Source organism: Homo sapiens, chromosome 8, assembly GCF_000001405.40.
Source record: "Homo sapiens chromosome 8, GRCh38.p14 Primary Assembly".
Lineage (NCBI taxonomy): Eukaryota > Metazoa > Chordata > Mammalia > Primates > Hominidae > Homo > Homo sapiens.
Window position 1 is genome coordinate 91152237 of NC_000008.11, and position 17038 is coordinate 91169274.

Genomic DNA, 17038 nt, shown 5'->3' on the forward strand with positions numbered 1-17038 from the left:
GTTTTCTTCTAGGGTTTTTATGGTTTTTGGTTTTATATTTAAGTCTTCAATCTTGAGTTAATTTTTGCATAAGGTGTAAGGAAGGGGTGCAGTTTCAGTTTTCCACATATGGCTAGCCAGTTTTCCTAGCACCATTTATTAAATAGGGAATACTTTCCCCATTGCTTGTTTTGTCAGGTTTGTTGAAGATCAGATGGTTGTAGATTTGAGGTCTTATTTCTGAGATGTCTATTCTGTTCCCTTGGTCTAAGTGTCTGTTTTGTTACCAGTACCATGCTGTTTTGGTTACTGTAGCCTTGTAGTATAGTTTGAAGTCAGGTAGCATGATGCCTACAGTTTTGTTCTTTTTGCTTAGGATTGTCTTGGCTGTTAGAGTTCTTTTTTGTTTCCATACAAATTTTAAAGTAGTTTTCTCTAATTCTGTGAAGAATGTCAATGGTAATTTGATGGGTATAGCATTGAATCTATAAATTACTTTGGACATTATGGCCATTTTCACAATATTGATTCTTCCTATCCACAAGAATGTAGTGTTTTTCCATTTGTTTGTTTTCTCTCTTATTTCCTTGAGCAGTGGTTTGTGAGTGTACACAATAACCAGCTAGCATCATGATGACATTATCAAATTCACACATAACAATATTTACCTTAAAAGTAAATGGGCTAAATACCCCAATTAAAAGACACAGACTGACAAATTGGATAAAGTGTCAAGACCCATCAGTGTGCTGTATTCAAGAGACCCATCTCATGTGCCAAGATACACATAGGCTCAAAATAAAGGGATGGAAGAAAATTTACCAAGCAAATGGCAAGCAGATAAAAGCAGAGGTTGCAATTGTAGTTTCTAACAAACAGACTTTAAACCAACAAAAATCAAAAAAGAAAAGGGCAGTATATAATGGTAAAGGGATCAACAAGAAGAGCTAACTATCCTAAATATATATGCACCCAATACAGGAGGACCCAGATTTGTAACGCAAGTTCTTAGAGAACTACAAGGAGACTTAGACTCCCACACAATAATAGTAGGAGACTTTAACGCCCCACTGTCAATATTAGATCATTGAGACAGAAAATTAACAAGGATATTCAGGACTTGAACTCAACTCTGGATCAAGTGGACCTGATAGATATCTACAAAACTTTCCACCCCCAAACAACAGAATATACAGTCTTCTCAGTGCCACGTGGTACTTACTCTAAAATTGATGAAATAATTGGAAGTAAAGCACTCCTCAGCAAATTGCAAAACAACTGAAATAATAACAAACAGTCTCTCAGACCGCTGTGCAATCAAATTAGAACTCAAGATTAAGAAACTTACTCAAAACCACACAACTACATGGAAATTGAACAACCTGCTCCTGAATGACTCCTGAGTAAATAATGAAATTAAGGCAGAAATCAAAATGTTCTTTGGAAACAGTGAGAACAAAGAGACAATGTACCAGAATCTCTGGGATGCAGCTAAAGCAGTGATAAGAGGGAAATTATAGTACTAAATGCCCACATAAGAAAGCTAGAAAGATCTCAAATTGACACCCTAACATCACAACTAAAAGAACTAGAGAAGCAAGAGCAAACAAATCCAAAAGCTAGGAGAAGACAGGAAATAACTAAGATCAGAGCAGAACTGAAGGAGATAGAGACATGAAAAATCCTTCAAAAAAAATCAATGAATCCAGGAGCTGGTTTTTTGAAAAAATTAATAAAATAGATAGACTGCTAGCTACACTAATAAAGAAGAAAAGGGAGAAGAATCAAATAGGCTCAATGAAAACTACAAAGGGCATATCACCACTGACCCCAAAGAAATAGAAACAACCATCAGAGAATACTATAAATACCTCTTTGCAAATAAACTAGAAAATCTAGAAGAAATGGATCAATTCCTGGACACATACACCCTCCCAAGACTAAACCAGGAAGAAGTCAAATTCTTGAATAGACCAATAACAAGTTCTGAAATTGAGGCAGGAATAAATAACCTACCAACCAAAGAAAAAAAAAAGCCCAGGATCAGATGGATTCACAGCTGAATGCTACCAGAAGTACAAAGAGGAGTTGGTACCATTCCCCATTCCTTCTGAAACTATTCCAAATAATTCAAAAGGAGACACTCCTCCCTAACTCATTTTGTGAGGCCAGCATCATTCTGATACCAAAGCCTGGCAGACACACAACAAAAAAAACTTCAGGCCAATATCTCTGATGAGTATTGATGCAAAAATCCCCAATAAAATACTGGCAAACTGAATTCAACAGCACATCACAAAGTTTATCCACCATGGTCAAGTGGTCTTCATTCATGGGATGCAAGGCTGGTTCAACATATGCAAATCAATAAATATAATTCATCATATAAATAGAACCAAGGACAAAAACCCCATGATTATCTCAATAGATGCAGACAGTCTTCGATAAAATTCAACATCCCTTCATGTTAAAAACTCTCAATAAACTAGGTATTAATGGAACATATCTCAAAATAATAAGAACTATTTATGACAAACCCACAGCCAATATCACATGGAATGGGGAAAAGCTGGAAGCATTTCCTTTGGAAACTGGCACAAGACAATCATGCATTCTCTCACCACTCGTATTCAATGTAGTATTGGAAATTCTGGCCAGGTCAATCAGGTAAGAGAAAGAAATAAAGGGTTTTCAAATATGAAAAAGGAAATCAAATTGTCTCTGTTTGCAGATGACACGATCCTATATCCAGAAAACCCCGTCGTCTCAACCCAAGAGATCCTTAAGCTGATAAGCAACTTCAGCAAAGTCTCAGGATAGAAAATCAATGTGCAAAAAGTTACAAGCATTCCTATACACCAACAGGAGACAAGCAGAGAGCCAAATCATGAATGAACTTCCATTCACAATTGCTACAAAGAGATTAAAATATGTAGGAATACAGCTAACAAAGGATGTGAAGGACCTCTTCAAGGAGAACCATTTGTCTATTATTTTAACTGACTACCCTAAAAATTAAAAAAAATTATTGTGTGCTTTATGAAAAGTATTTATTTGATACTTATTCTCTCCTCTTAGACAATTTAAAACTTTCTATTACATACCTCCATCTTTTTAAAAAATTTTTAAGCAACACATAATAATTGTACATATTTGTGGGGGTGCAGAGTGAGATTTTTATACATATATACAATGAGTAATGATTGAATCAGAGTAATTAGCATATCCATTACCTCAAATATTCATCATTTCTTTGTGCTGGAAACATTCAACAACCTATCTATTTGAAATTCATCTATTTGAAAACATACAATAAATTACTAACTATAGTCACCCTACAGTGCTATAGAATACTAGAACACTAGAACTTATTTCTCCTCTCTAGCTGTAATTTTGTATTTGTTAACTAACGTTTTCCTCACCTCTTCCCTACTCTTCCCAGCCTCTAATAACCACTATTCTACTCTCTACTTCTATGAACTCAACATTTTTATCTCACACATGAGTGATAACATGCGGTATTTATCTTTCTGTGCCTGACTTATTTTACTTAATATAATGTCCTCCAGGTTCATCCATATTGCCTCGAATGACAGGATTTCATTCTTTTTATGACTAAATAATATTCTTTTTGTGAATATGTATGTGTGTGTATATATATATATACACAACATATATATATACAACATATATATATACAACATATATATATACACACACCATATATATATATGAAACATTTTCCTTATTCCTTAATCTTTTGCTGGATACTTAGGTTGACTACATATTGTACTACTGTAAACATGGGGGTGCAGATGTTTCTTTGATATACTGATTTCCTTTGGAAATAGTAGTGGTAGTGCTAGATCATATGGTAGTTCTATTCATAGATTTTTGAGGAAACTTCATACTGTTTTTCATAATGGATGTACTAATTTATGTTCCCATTTACAGTGTATGAGTTTTCTTTGTGTTCTCACCAGCATTTATTTATTTTTATTTGTTTCTATTTGTTACAACAAATTCAAACTTTTGGACAAGAGCCATTCCAACTGGGATGAGATATGTCTTACTGTGGTTTAGATTTGCATTTTCCTGGATGATTAGTGATGTTGGACCTGTTTTTCAGATACTTGTTGGCCATTTGTGTGTCTTCATTTGAGAAATGTCTATTCAGATCCTTCACCAATTTTTAAATCAAATTATTTGGGGTTTCCTTTTGCTCTTGAGTTGGGTTCTTTTTTATTCTGTATATTAATCACTTGTAGGATGAATGGCTTGGAAATGTTTTCTGCCTTTCTACAAGTTATCTCTTCACTCAGTTGATTGTTTCCTTTAATATGCAGAAACTTTTAAGTTTGATATAATCATGTCTATTTTTGCTTTTGTTGTCCGTGGTTTGGAGTATTTTTTAATTCTCTTTTTAAAAAAAATATTCTTTCTATTTTGATTTTGAGTCTTACCCACAAAATCTTTGCCCACACTAATTCCTGAAGTGTTTCCCTTATGTTTTCTTGTAGCAATTCTATAGTTTCAGGTCTTACATTTAAGTCTTTAATTCATCTTGAGTTGATTTTTGTTTATGGTGGGAGATATGAGTCTAGTTTCAATCTTCTGTGTATGGATATTCAATTTTCCCAGCACCGTTTTTTGAAGAGGCTCTCCTTTCAGTGTATGTTCCTGGCACCTTTGTCAAAAATCAGTTGACTGTAAATATATGGATTTATTTCTGGGTTCTCTATTCTGTTCCATTGGTCTAAGTGTCTTTTTTAAACCAGTTCTATGCTGTTTTGGTTACTATAGCTTTGTGGTATATTTTGAAGTCAGGTAGTTTGATGACTCTAGGTTTGTTCTTTTTGCTCAGAATTGCTTTGGTTCTTGGGGGTCTTCTGTGGTTCCATATAAATTTTAGAATTGCTTTCTCTGTTTCTGTGAAGAGTGTCATTGGTATTTTGATAGGGATTGCTTCGAATCTGTAGATTGCTTTGTGTAATATAATCACTTTAACATTATGAATTCTGACATTAGAAAGCACACTTCACCTCTCTAATGTGACCTTTCTCACAGGTGTGCCTCCTTCAGCTTCCCATGTGGCACCCACAGAAACATTCACCTATGAATGGACTGTCCCCAAAGAAGTAGGACCCACTAATGCAGATCCTGTATGTCTAGCTAAGATGTATTATTCTGCTGTGGATCCCACTAAAGATATATTCACTGGGCTTATTGGGCCAATGAAAATATGCAAGAAAGGAAGTTTACATGCAAATTGGAGACAGAAAGATGTAGACAAGGAGTTCTATTTGTTTCCTATAGTATTTAATGAGAATGAGGGTTTACTCCTGGAAGATAATATCAGAATGTTTACAACTGCACCTGATCAGGTGGATAAGGCAGATGAAGACTTTCAGGAATCTAATAAAATGCACTGGACTTTTAATGTTGAATGCCTTACAGCTAGCTGATCATTACACAGGCGGCATGAAGCAAAAATATACTGTGAACCAATGCAGGTGGCAGTCTGAGGATTCCACCTTCTACCTGGGAGAGAGGACATACTATATCGCAGCAGTGGAAGTGGAATGGGATTATTCCCCACAAAGGGAGTGGGAAAAGGAGCTGCATCATTTACAAGAGCAGAATGTTTCAAATGCATTTTTAGATAAGGGAGAGTTTTACATAGGCTCAAAGTACAAGAAAGTTGTGTATCGGCAGTATACTGATTGCACGTTCCGTATTCCAGTGGAGAGAAAAGCTGAAGAAGAACATCTGGGAATTCTAGGTCTACAACTTCATGCAGATGTTGGAGACAAAGTCAAAATTATCTTTAAAAACATGACCACAAGGCCCTACTCAATACATGCCCATGGGGTACAAACGGAGAGTTCTACATTTATTCCAGCATTACCAGGTGAAACTCTCACTTACCTATGGAAAATCCCAGAAAGATCTGGAGCTGGAACAGAGGATTCTGCTTGTATTCCATGGGCTTACTATTCAACTGTGGATCAAGTTAAGGATCTCTACAGTGGATTAATTGGCCCCCTGATTGTTTGTCGAAGACATTACTTGAAAGTATTCAATCCCAGAAAGAAACTGGAATTTACCCTTCTGTTTCTAGTTTTTGATGAGAATGAATCTTGGTATTTAGATGACAACATCAAAACAAACTCTGATCACCCCAAGAAAGTAAACAAAGATGATGAGGAATTCATAGAAAGCAATAAAATGCATGCTGTTAATGGAAGAATGTTTGGAAACCCACAAGGCCTCACAATGCACATGGGAGATGAAGCCAATGGGCGATGAAATAGACTTACACACTGTACATTTTCACGGCCATAGCTTCTAATACAAGCACAGGGGTGTTTATAGTTCTGATGTCTTTGACATTTTCCCTGGAACATACCAAACCCTAGAAATGTTTCCAAGAACACCTGGAATTTGGTTACTCCACTGCCATGTGACTGACCACATTCATGCTGGAATGGAAACCACTTACATTGTTCTACAAAATGAAGACACCAAGTCTGGCTGAATGAAATACATTGGTGATAAGTGGAAAAAAGAGAAAAACCAATGATTCATAACAATGTATGTGAAAGTGTAAAATAGAATGTTACTTTGGAATGACTATAAACATTGAAAGAAGACTGGAAACATACAACTTTGTGCATTTGTGGGGGAAAACTATTAATTTTTTGCAAATGGAAACATCAACAGACTATATAATGATACATGACTGACACTTGTACACTAGGTAATAAAATTGATTCCTACAGTCTAATCATATCACCACTATTAGGGTTTTATAAAACTGCATTTAAAAAAAGATCTATGACCAGATATTCTCCTGTGTGCTCCTCAAAGGAACACTATTAAGGTTCATTGAAATGTTTTCAATCATTGCCTTCCCATTGATCCTTCTAACATGCTGTTGACATCACACCTAATATTCAGAGGGAATGGGCAAGGTATGAGGGAAGGAAATAAAACATAAAATAAATAAAATAGAATGACACAAATCTGAGTTTTGTGAACCCCTGAAGGGATGGTCTAAAGGACGTTATCTGGAACTGGAGAAAAGCAGAGTTGAGATACAATTCTATAGATTAAATCCTGGTAAGGATAAACATTGCCATTAGAAGAAAAGCTTCAAAATAGACCTGTGGCAGATGTCACATAAGTAGAATTTCTGCCAAGCCTTAACTGCATTCAGAGGATAATATCAATGAACTAAACTTGAACTAAAAATTTTTTAAACAAAAAGTTATAAATGAAGACACATGGTTGTGAATACAATGACATATTTCTTTATTTTCACATACACTCTAGCTGAAAGAGCAAGAGTACACATCAACAAAAAAATGGGAACAAGGCTTTGGCTGAAAAAAACATGCATTTGACAAATCATGTTAATAGCTAGACAAGAAGAAAGTTAGCTTTGTAAACTACTTCATTTGATTCAGAGAAATAGAGCATGAGTTTTCTTAAAGTAAAAAGAAAAGGAACAAAGAAAATGAGGTTTGAAATTTTTTACCATGGCAAAATATTAACATCTTTCTCAAAAACATAGAGAAATCTGGAAAAATCAAGAAGATAAAATTCTGGACCAGTTAGTGACATTCTTTCAAGCATACTTGTAAAATGTTTCCTTAGAGTGTTCTTGGGATGAAAATGATTGTCATGTCTCCAACAACAGTGAACTGATGTTGTTCCTTGGAATAAAAGTCAATCCCCACCTTAAAAAAAACAAAACAACAACAACAACAACAAAAATATGAATTCTTCCAATCCATGAACATGAGATGTCTTTCCATTTTTGTGTTTGCCCTCTTTAATTTCTTTTAGCAGTATTTTGTAGGTATCATTGTGGAAATCTTTCACCTTTTTGGATAAATTTATTTTTAGCTTTAAAAATCTTTTGTAGCTACTGTAAATGGGATAATTTTTTCTTGATGAATTATTTATTACTGGTTTATAGAATCACTACTGATTTTTGTTTGGTTGATTTTGTATCCTGCAACTTTATTGAATTTGTTAATTAGTTCAAACAGGTTTTTTGGCGGAATCTTTAGTTTTTTGTTTTTTTTTTTAAATATATAAGATAATGTCATCTGCAAATAGGGACAATTTGACTTCTTGTTTCTTAATTTCATTCCTTACTATTTCTTTGTCTTGCCTAATTACTCTCTTAGGAACTCCAGTACTGACATGGTTTGGCTCTGTGTCCCCACCCAAATCTCATGTTGAATTGTAATCTCCAATGTTGGGGGAGGGACCTGGTGGGAGGTGATTGGATTATGGGTGCAGATTTACCCCCTACTGTTCTTGTGATAGTGAGTTCTTATGAGATCTGGTTGTTTAAAAATGCACAGCACTTCCCCCTTCTCTCTCCTGCTGACCATGTGAAGATGTGCCTTGCTTCCCCTTTATCTTCTTCCATGATTGTAAGTTTACTGAGGCCTCTCCAGCCATGCCTCATGTACAGCCTGTGGAACCATGAGTCAATTAAACCTCTTTTCTTCATAAACTACCCAGTCTCAGGCAGTTCTTTATAGCAGTGTGAGAATGGAGTAATACAAGTATTATACTATGTTGAATAAGAGTGGTAAAAAATAGGCATCCTTGTCTTGCTCCAGATTTCAGAGGAAAAGCATTTTTCTTTTCCCTGCTGAAAGCTTTTCCATACTCACTATGATTTTACTGTGGGTTTATCACATACGGCCTTTACTTTGTTTAGTCATATTCCTTTAATACCTAATTTGTTGAGAGTTTTTATCATGACAAGGTGTAGAATTTTATCAAATCCGTTTTCTGCCTCTATTGGGATGATCATATGATTTCTACCCTTCATTCTGTTGATATGATGTATTATATATTTACTTATTAGCATATATTGAACCATCCTTGAATCCATGGCCTAAATCCACTTGATCATGGTGTGTAATCATTTTGATATACTGTTGGATTCCATTTGCTACTATTTTTTTAAGGTTTTTGCATCTGTGTTCATCAAGGTTATTCATTTGTAGTTTTTCTTGTTGTTGTTGTGTCCTTTTGTGGTTTTGGTATAAGGGAAATGCTGGCCTTGAAGAATGAGTTAGGAAGAATTTCCTTCTTTCTTTTCGGAATGGTTTGAGAAAAGTGGATGTTAGTTTCTTAAAAGTTTGATAGAATTTAGCAGTGAAGTTATGCAGTCCTGGGCTTTTTTGTTTGTTTATTTTGGGAGACTTATTACTGTTTCAATCTCATTACTCATTACTGATCTGTTTAGGTTTTCTATTTCTTCCTGGTTCAACCTTGTTAAATTATATGTGTGCAGAAATTTATCTGTTTTCTCTAGGTTTTCCAATTTTTTGGCATATAGTTGTTCATAATAATCTCTAATGATCCTTTGCGTTCTGTGATATTAATGTGTCTCCTTTTTCATTTCTAATTTTATGTATTGGAATCTTCTGTCTCTTTTTAGTCTAATGCCATGTTGATTTTGTTTATCTTTTCAAACAACTTTTTAAATTTGCTTTTTATTCTCTATTTTGTTTATTTCTGCGCTAATTTTCTTTCTTTCTTTCTACTAATTTTGGGTTTAATTTGTTCTTGCTTTTCTAGATCCTTGAGGTGCATTGTCAGATTGTTTATTTAAAATCTTTCTAATTTTTGTTGTAGGTGTTCATTGCTATAAACTTCCCTCTTAGTAATGCTTTTACTATATTTAATAGGTTTTGGTATGCAGTGTTTCTGTTTTCATTTGTTTCAAGAAACTTAAAAGTTTTCTTCTTAATTTCTTTATTCACCTTTGGTGACTCAGGAGCACATTGTTACACTTTTATGTGTTTGTACAGTTTCCACAGTTCCTCTTGTTATTGATTCATAGTTTTATTCCATTGTGATCTGAAAGATACTTATGATTTTGATTTTTAAAAATTTGTTGAGACTTGTTTTATGTCCTAACATATGGTTTATCCTGGAGAATGTTCCATGTGCTGGAAAGAAGAATGTGTATTCTGCAGCTGTTGGATGACATGTTTTATAAATGTCTGTTAGGTCCATTTGATTTTGTAGTGCAGTTTAAGTCTGATGTTTCTTCATTGATTTTCTGTCTGGATACTCTGTCCAGTGCTGAGAGTGGAGCGTTGAGTCCCCAACTATTATTGTACTAGGGTCTATCTCTCCCTTTAGTTCTACTGATACTTGCTTTATATATCTGGCTGTTCCAGTGTTGGGTGCATATACATTTACATATGTTATATCCTCTTACTGAATTAATCCCTTTATCATTATATAATGACCTTCTTTGTTCCTTTTTATATTTTTTGACTTGAAGTCTGTTTCATCTAATGTAAGTATAGTTACTCCTGCTCACTTTTGTTTTCCATTTGTATGGAACATCTTTTCCCATCCCTTAACTTTCAGTCTATGTGTGTTGTTGCAGGTAAGTGAGTTTTTTGTAGGCAGAATATAGTTGGGTCTTATGTTTTTATCCATTCAGCCTGTTTAAATCTTATAGTTGGGAAAATTTAAACTGTTTATATTCAATATTGTTATTGATGGTGAGTACTTACTTATCTTTTTGCCTCCCTCCACCTCTGCTTTCCATTCTTTTGTCTCCCTGTGTTTAGTTCTAGATATGTTCTCCTGATATATTTTACAAATTAATACTTTTTTTTTCAGCTTTGTCTACATGTTGTCAAACCTACCCATTAGATTATGTATTTCAGTTTTATTTATTGTTACAATTTCTTGTTGGTTCTTTTTCAAATCTACTATGTTACTTTTTACACTTTTCATTTATCTCCTGAAAATCTTAAACTTGGCTTTTATTTTCCAGATCATGTTAAGTGTAGTTATTTCTATCTTATATTCCCATGGTTGTCTTTTTTGTATTATATAGATCTCAGCTCAGATATCAACTCCTCAGGAGAGCTTTTCCTCACAACTCAGTCAAAGTAGCCTCTACTCTATGACATCAAATTTTAAATTTTTCTTTATGGCACTTACCACTGTAATAAATACATGTTTAGATTTGTTTACTTGCTTATTGTTTTTATGTACCCACCCTCCATTTTTTTAGCCTCCATAGAATGCAAATTTCCATGAAAACAGCATCTTTGCCTGTTTATTCATTGCTGTATTTTATTGCCAAGAGCAGTCCTTGGCAAATAATAAGCATACATAATAAGCAACAATACACATTGTTGAATGAATGAATGACTGAATAGCTTTATCATAGCCTTTGTCTGATTTCCCTACACTTCATCTAATGTTCACAAGTCACAAACTTTGGGAGGGTCTCAAAAATCTTCTCTGACCTTGATGTCAGAACTTGTCTCCATCTTGATCCTACTTCTCTCAACTTCCACTTTATTTGCTTGCTTTTATATTGCTTTCCTGTTCCACTTATTTTTCAGAAGACTTTGTGTTCTTTCTTCTAAGACCACTTTAAGGTAAATCTCTTTAATAGCTGCATTACATTTCTATTATAGTTATATTTCCTTTTAAATTTTATCAGGTAGTTAAAATTATATAAACCCCTAAAAATTCTTACTGCTATGGCTGCCAAGTTTAGAAAAAAATTAAAAGATTATAGTTTTAAAATCAATATTTTTTTCTATATTTTGAGCTCTAATTTTATTGGCCACACTTTTCATATCTTCTATTATAAATTACAAAGTTCTTAGAGGATAATGGAATATATATTAAAATACAAGCCAAATCAAAAATAAAAATTCAGCTCTTGACTGAGAAGGTATCTCAAGAGACTTCCAAAGCTCCCTATATAAAATTTCAGGGAATTTCAGAATATTTTATTTGTTGTCAGGAGTGAGAGTATGAGGCAAGGCAATCAATTTTTTCATTATTCTTAAGATTTTTATGAAGTGGGATCAAATAAATTTATAGAAAAGTTCCTACAACTTTATAAATGTTAGCTTTCTCTTGTTTTTTCTCCAAGTGCCCATATACAGAAAATCACATTGTAAATTGGGATTGTGGAGAAGGTATTGTGAGATAGGTATAGTGATTAGAGGCAGTAAATATGGAAGGTTCTAGAATATAATGAGGGTTAAAAACTAACTTCTCTGTCAAGAAGACAACTACCCAAAGGTGTCAGGAAACTAGGCTCAGAAAATAGCTCATTCTTTTGTTAGAGCCAGGACTGCTTTCCTTTAGGAAAAGCTGGCAAGGAAATTCCATGGCCTAGAAGTCTGAAGATTAAGGTCAGAACCTTCAAAGATGGCCAAAGTCCATCGTAGAAGGCTACTCTTCAGTCTGGGGTATACTCAGAATGGTTAGCTATGGTTTCATCTATCTAGGTCACAGATGCTTTCTGGAAACAGTAATATGCCAAGAAAGGATATGTAAAGTTGCTATATAAAAACAAACAATGGTTAATAATATTTTTTGAAAACTATGCTGGTTTTGTGCTAAACACTTTAAATAGTATCCTTTTATTTAATTTTCATTATAGTTTCATGAGCTAGGAACTATTACCATTTCCATTTTACAGATGATAAAACTGAGGCTTTCAGAAAAGATTAAGGTACTTTTCTCAATTTCAGAGCTGAAACTCAAACCTAGGTTGCTTCAAAACCAAAAATACTCTTAATTACTAGTAGTGATTTATATAAACATATTATGCCTGATTATCATGTATTGTTCTTGACTGTTCGTTAATATTGCATGTTCTTTTAATTGTTGAGGAAGACTTGACTGAGTTGAACTAGCCAGAGAAGGGACTGATCTGTGAATTCCTTCCTTGCTGCTACATACCTCCCTAACTCCTATAGGCTCACTTTAGAAAATAGAAGTCAAGACTCCTACGAAGGTTCATTTGAGATGGGAAGGTTGGTGAATAGACATTTTGTGCCTGGTAATTAGGAGGAACAATTGGCAACATCTGTAGTTCCCCCACAAAAGGAAAATTTTGCCTAATTTTTGAGAGGAAGAAAGGATATTCTCTGGCACCATATCTTAGAGTCTTTGCTGGCATTCCTGTAGTCCAGGATAAAATGGGAATGTCAAAGAAATTTCAGGTGCGGTTTTATAGGAGGGTACATTAAAGAAAAAGCAGAGCTGAAAGTCAAGGAAATAATTCCAAACAGAAGGCACTGGGTTAGTAAAAGACTTAGGCAACTTAGCTGTGCAGGGGATGCCATGCAACTGAATCACAAAGGGTGACACACTAGGTGACCCTCAGAAAAGCTGATCGTGTCACTGTGGGGAGACCATGAGGTTTTTGTTACTGTAGTTGCTTGTTTCAGAATGCAAAAGTTTTGCTTCCTTTCTCTTTCTTATACTTGTAAGAAGGGAGTTAGTGCTAATATATTAAAATAATCTGGTGGCAAGATTTCTCAGGTGGTTTGGTGCGTATTTGGACCTCAGATTTTTTTCTATGTGCATCTCTGTCATGAGAATTATAGCTGATTCAAGTCACATGTACAACTCTAATAAAGACATGCAGTTAATGGGTTTTCTGTTTTTGTGTAGTAGATATATTTTAATTTTTTTCATTAATGGAAGAAGTATGATGGGTGAAAACATCAGACAGAGTCTGGAATCAGACAAACTTGGGTTTTAATTCTGACAATACTTATGGTTGACGTTTTATGATTCCTGCAGATAACAGCTATTGCAAGAGATCCCTGAGTTGGCTGTAGAAGAATGCAGGTTTTTCTTGGTATATTTCTTTACAAATTAGCTTTCCCAGGGAAATCTAGTGAGCAAGATTTTGGTAGTAACCTCTTTTTTAGGTCATAATAGAGTGAAGGGCAGCCAGAGTGCTGACTTGGTTGGGGCAGCATTGTGTAGTAGAAAACACATGAACTTTCATGCACTGCATATGAATTCCAGTTTTGCAACTTTCTAACTGTGTGACTTCGGGAAAATTTTAATTGAACTTGAACTTTAATTCCTTTATCTAAAAAATGGGATAATAATACAAATGATACTGTCTACCATGAGGATTGACTGAGCTAACAAATATAAATCACCAGGAACATAGCAAGTACTTTGAATATTACATTAGTTCTAATTCCTGTCTTCCCTTGTCACCATCAAAGCTCCAGCATGTTCCTCCACCTCATACACACTATTACAGTAGTGTAGGACTGCCACCATAATGTCAGAACCTTAGACAAATTGTGCTAGAAGGTGGTATTATTGCTTTCTTGCCACTCATTTTTCCTTAGGCTACCCTACATATATGGGAGTCCTCTGGGGCAATCTAACCTGGACAATGAGAGAACAGATGGGAAGAGGGGGTTGTAAAATAAACTGAAAAAAAAAAAAAAAAAAAAAAAACCTATGAATACCTGAAAATCCTAATATTAGCAATTTTGAAAAACTTTATGGCAGGAAGAGGAATTATAATTTATATTCCTTGATCAAAGATATGCTCTGTAAAGCAAGAAGAAAACAAAATCAAACATATAGCTTGTGTTAAATATTAGCGTGGAAAAGGGCACTTTACGAAATTGTTTTATGGGATACATATACAATTGTTACTCAATTATTCACTATTTTAGAGTGCAAGTTCCACTGAAAGTGCCCTGGGGAATGGCAAGTAGAGTCAGTCCAGTACTACCCGTCCTCATATAAAAAGAACAAGATTTATGCCTCCACAGAGGAAGCTCAAGACTGCCAACCAAACGCTGTTATTTAACAAAGGTTCTGCCCCTGGTCGTTTTCAGACACAGAGCTGGTTATAGATTCTGTTGTTCTTTTCCCCACCTACACTCCGGTGCCTTTGCCCACTTTGCTGGATAGTCACAGTTTTTAGTTACAGTTTTTGCCCCACTCCCTGTTGGGCTGTGATACTTCTTCAAAGATTCAGAGATTTGGAGGGTAAAGAAAGCAAGAGGAGGGCACCATGCTGAAAACTCAGTGAGTACTACAGGAGCAGCAAAATAAGGACTGCTTCTAGGGAAGGCTGTAGTAGTCTGTTGTTATGCTGTTAATAAAGACATACCCGAGACTGGGTAATTATAAAGGAAAGAAGTTTAATTGCTTCACAGTTCCATATGGTTGGGGAGGCCTCACAATCATGGCGGAAGGAAGTAGGAACAAGTCATATTTTATATGGCTGCAGGGAAGGGAGAACTTGTGCAGGGGTACTCCTTTTTATAAAACCATCAGATCTAGTGAGACTTATTCACTATCACGAGAACAGCCCGGGAAAGACCCGCCCCTATGATTCAATATCCTTCCACTGGCTCCCTCCGACAACACATGGAAATTGTGGGAGCTACAATTCAAGATTGGATTTGTATGGAGACACAGCCAAACCATATCAAGGGGAGAAACTGGAAAGCTCAACGGAATGCTTTCAGCACTAATATATACAAGGAAGTGAGATGTGAAACATCCAGTGTTTTGCTAGTAAATGTTTAACACAATCAGCTCCCTGGGGCGCCAGAGCGGAACCCTCGTTTGTAGCATCTGCTAATTCCCATAATGTAAATACTCCCACCATGGCCTGTTTCAAGCTACCAATATAATGTCACTAAAAGCCATGTTGGACATTGATGCTCAGAACTGGCTCTTCTGTGTTGGTGCCAGTCAGCACACCAGTGATAGTAGCCTTAGCACCACTGACTGAGACAGGGAGGATATGGTAGAGAATTTTAAGAGACGATGTTCCCTTTTTGGTGATAGAAATTCTTAAAATATTAGCTTTACTGCTTTATTAACTGTATGACTTTCTGTAGAGATCCTTAAATTCCCCAAGTCTCAATTTCCTTATTTATTAATATATGTATTCGATATACATTTTCTGAGTGTCTTTTGTATGCCAGGAACTTTTGTAGACATCTGGATACAGAGGTGAATAATACAAATTCCCTGCCCTCTTGGAGCTTATAATCTAGTAGGGAAGACTGATAATACACAGGTAAACAAATTTAAGGTAGTGTCATGAAGAAAACGCTTAGGGCATTGTAAGCCCAGGAGGGGAAATTTTGTCTGTTTTGGGCACTGCTGTGTCCTCAGTGCTTACGACATTGTAAGAATGATTCAGAGTATAAATGAAGGCTCTGGTACTCTAATTAGGGCTTTTGGAAAAGACTGAGGGGCCGAAAGATGACCAGAAATATGTGATTGATATACAAGAACAAATGTGGCAGGTGCTGTTGGGTAGCTGCTGACACCCCCATCTCCAGCCCTCCTCTCCTGAACTACTTCCAGTGGGAGTGGTCATGTGTCACAGTTCTGGCTAGGGAAAAATAAATGGAAATCTTTTGGGTGGGATTTCCAGGAAAGCTTTTGTTTTTCCTATAAATTGGACAGACTTTATCTCTTGCCCCTTGGTCTTTTCTTGTTTGTGTTGCCTGAATTTGATTGAGAATTAGCAGCCATTTGGGACTGTAAAGTGCAAGCACGAAGACAACAACCTACCTGCTAAGCAGGATGGACCTCTGGCAGCAGCATTGCACAGCCTTACTACTCCTGGCCTGCTCAACTTGTGACACTTGTTACATGAGATAAATGACACTCTATGTGTTGTCTGTTTTTTTGTGTTTTGTGTTTTTTTTTGCAATTAATATAGCAAGCCAGGCCATAAAAATATAGAAAGAATAATGAATACTAAATAAGTCATATAAAACAGTAGAATTTAAGAAACATTGCTCAAAAAATGTTGCTCTTAATATCATAATGACTCAAGTAATAAAGAATCATTACATACTTTTGAGCCCTTATTCTGTGCTTTATAATAGGAATCATAATAATGTGAGTGATTCCAGAGTCAAATACAAAAAACAAACTGAATTTAAAATCTTGGGACTAACGTTAATAGCTGTCAGTTGACACTTCATCAACAATTCAGACACTTATATTTCAAAACAGGAAGCAACAAAATGCTTGGAAAAAGATCCAGGACTTTATAAAATATTGTCCTTTTTAGAGCTGGAGGCCATAATCCTAAGCAAACTAACCCAGGAACAGAAAACTAAATACTGCATGTTCTTACTTATAAGTAGGAGCTAAACACTGAATACACATGGACCAAAATAGGGAACAACAGACACAGCGGCCTATTTGAGGGTAGAAAGTGGGAGGAGGG

At 35.4% G+C, this 17038-nt stretch overlaps 1 protein-coding gene and 1 pseudogene across 3 annotated transcripts in view; both read left to right on the top strand.

Annotated features, from left to right (window-relative positions):
* LRRC69 (leucine rich repeat containing 69) overlaps positions 1–17038 on the top strand; it is a 116639-nt gene that overhangs the window by 49618 nt on the left and 49983 nt on the right. The gene's annotated exons all lie outside the window — the stretch shown is intronic.
* Positions 5042–7686, top strand: CPP (ceruloplasmin pseudogene; annotated as a pseudogene).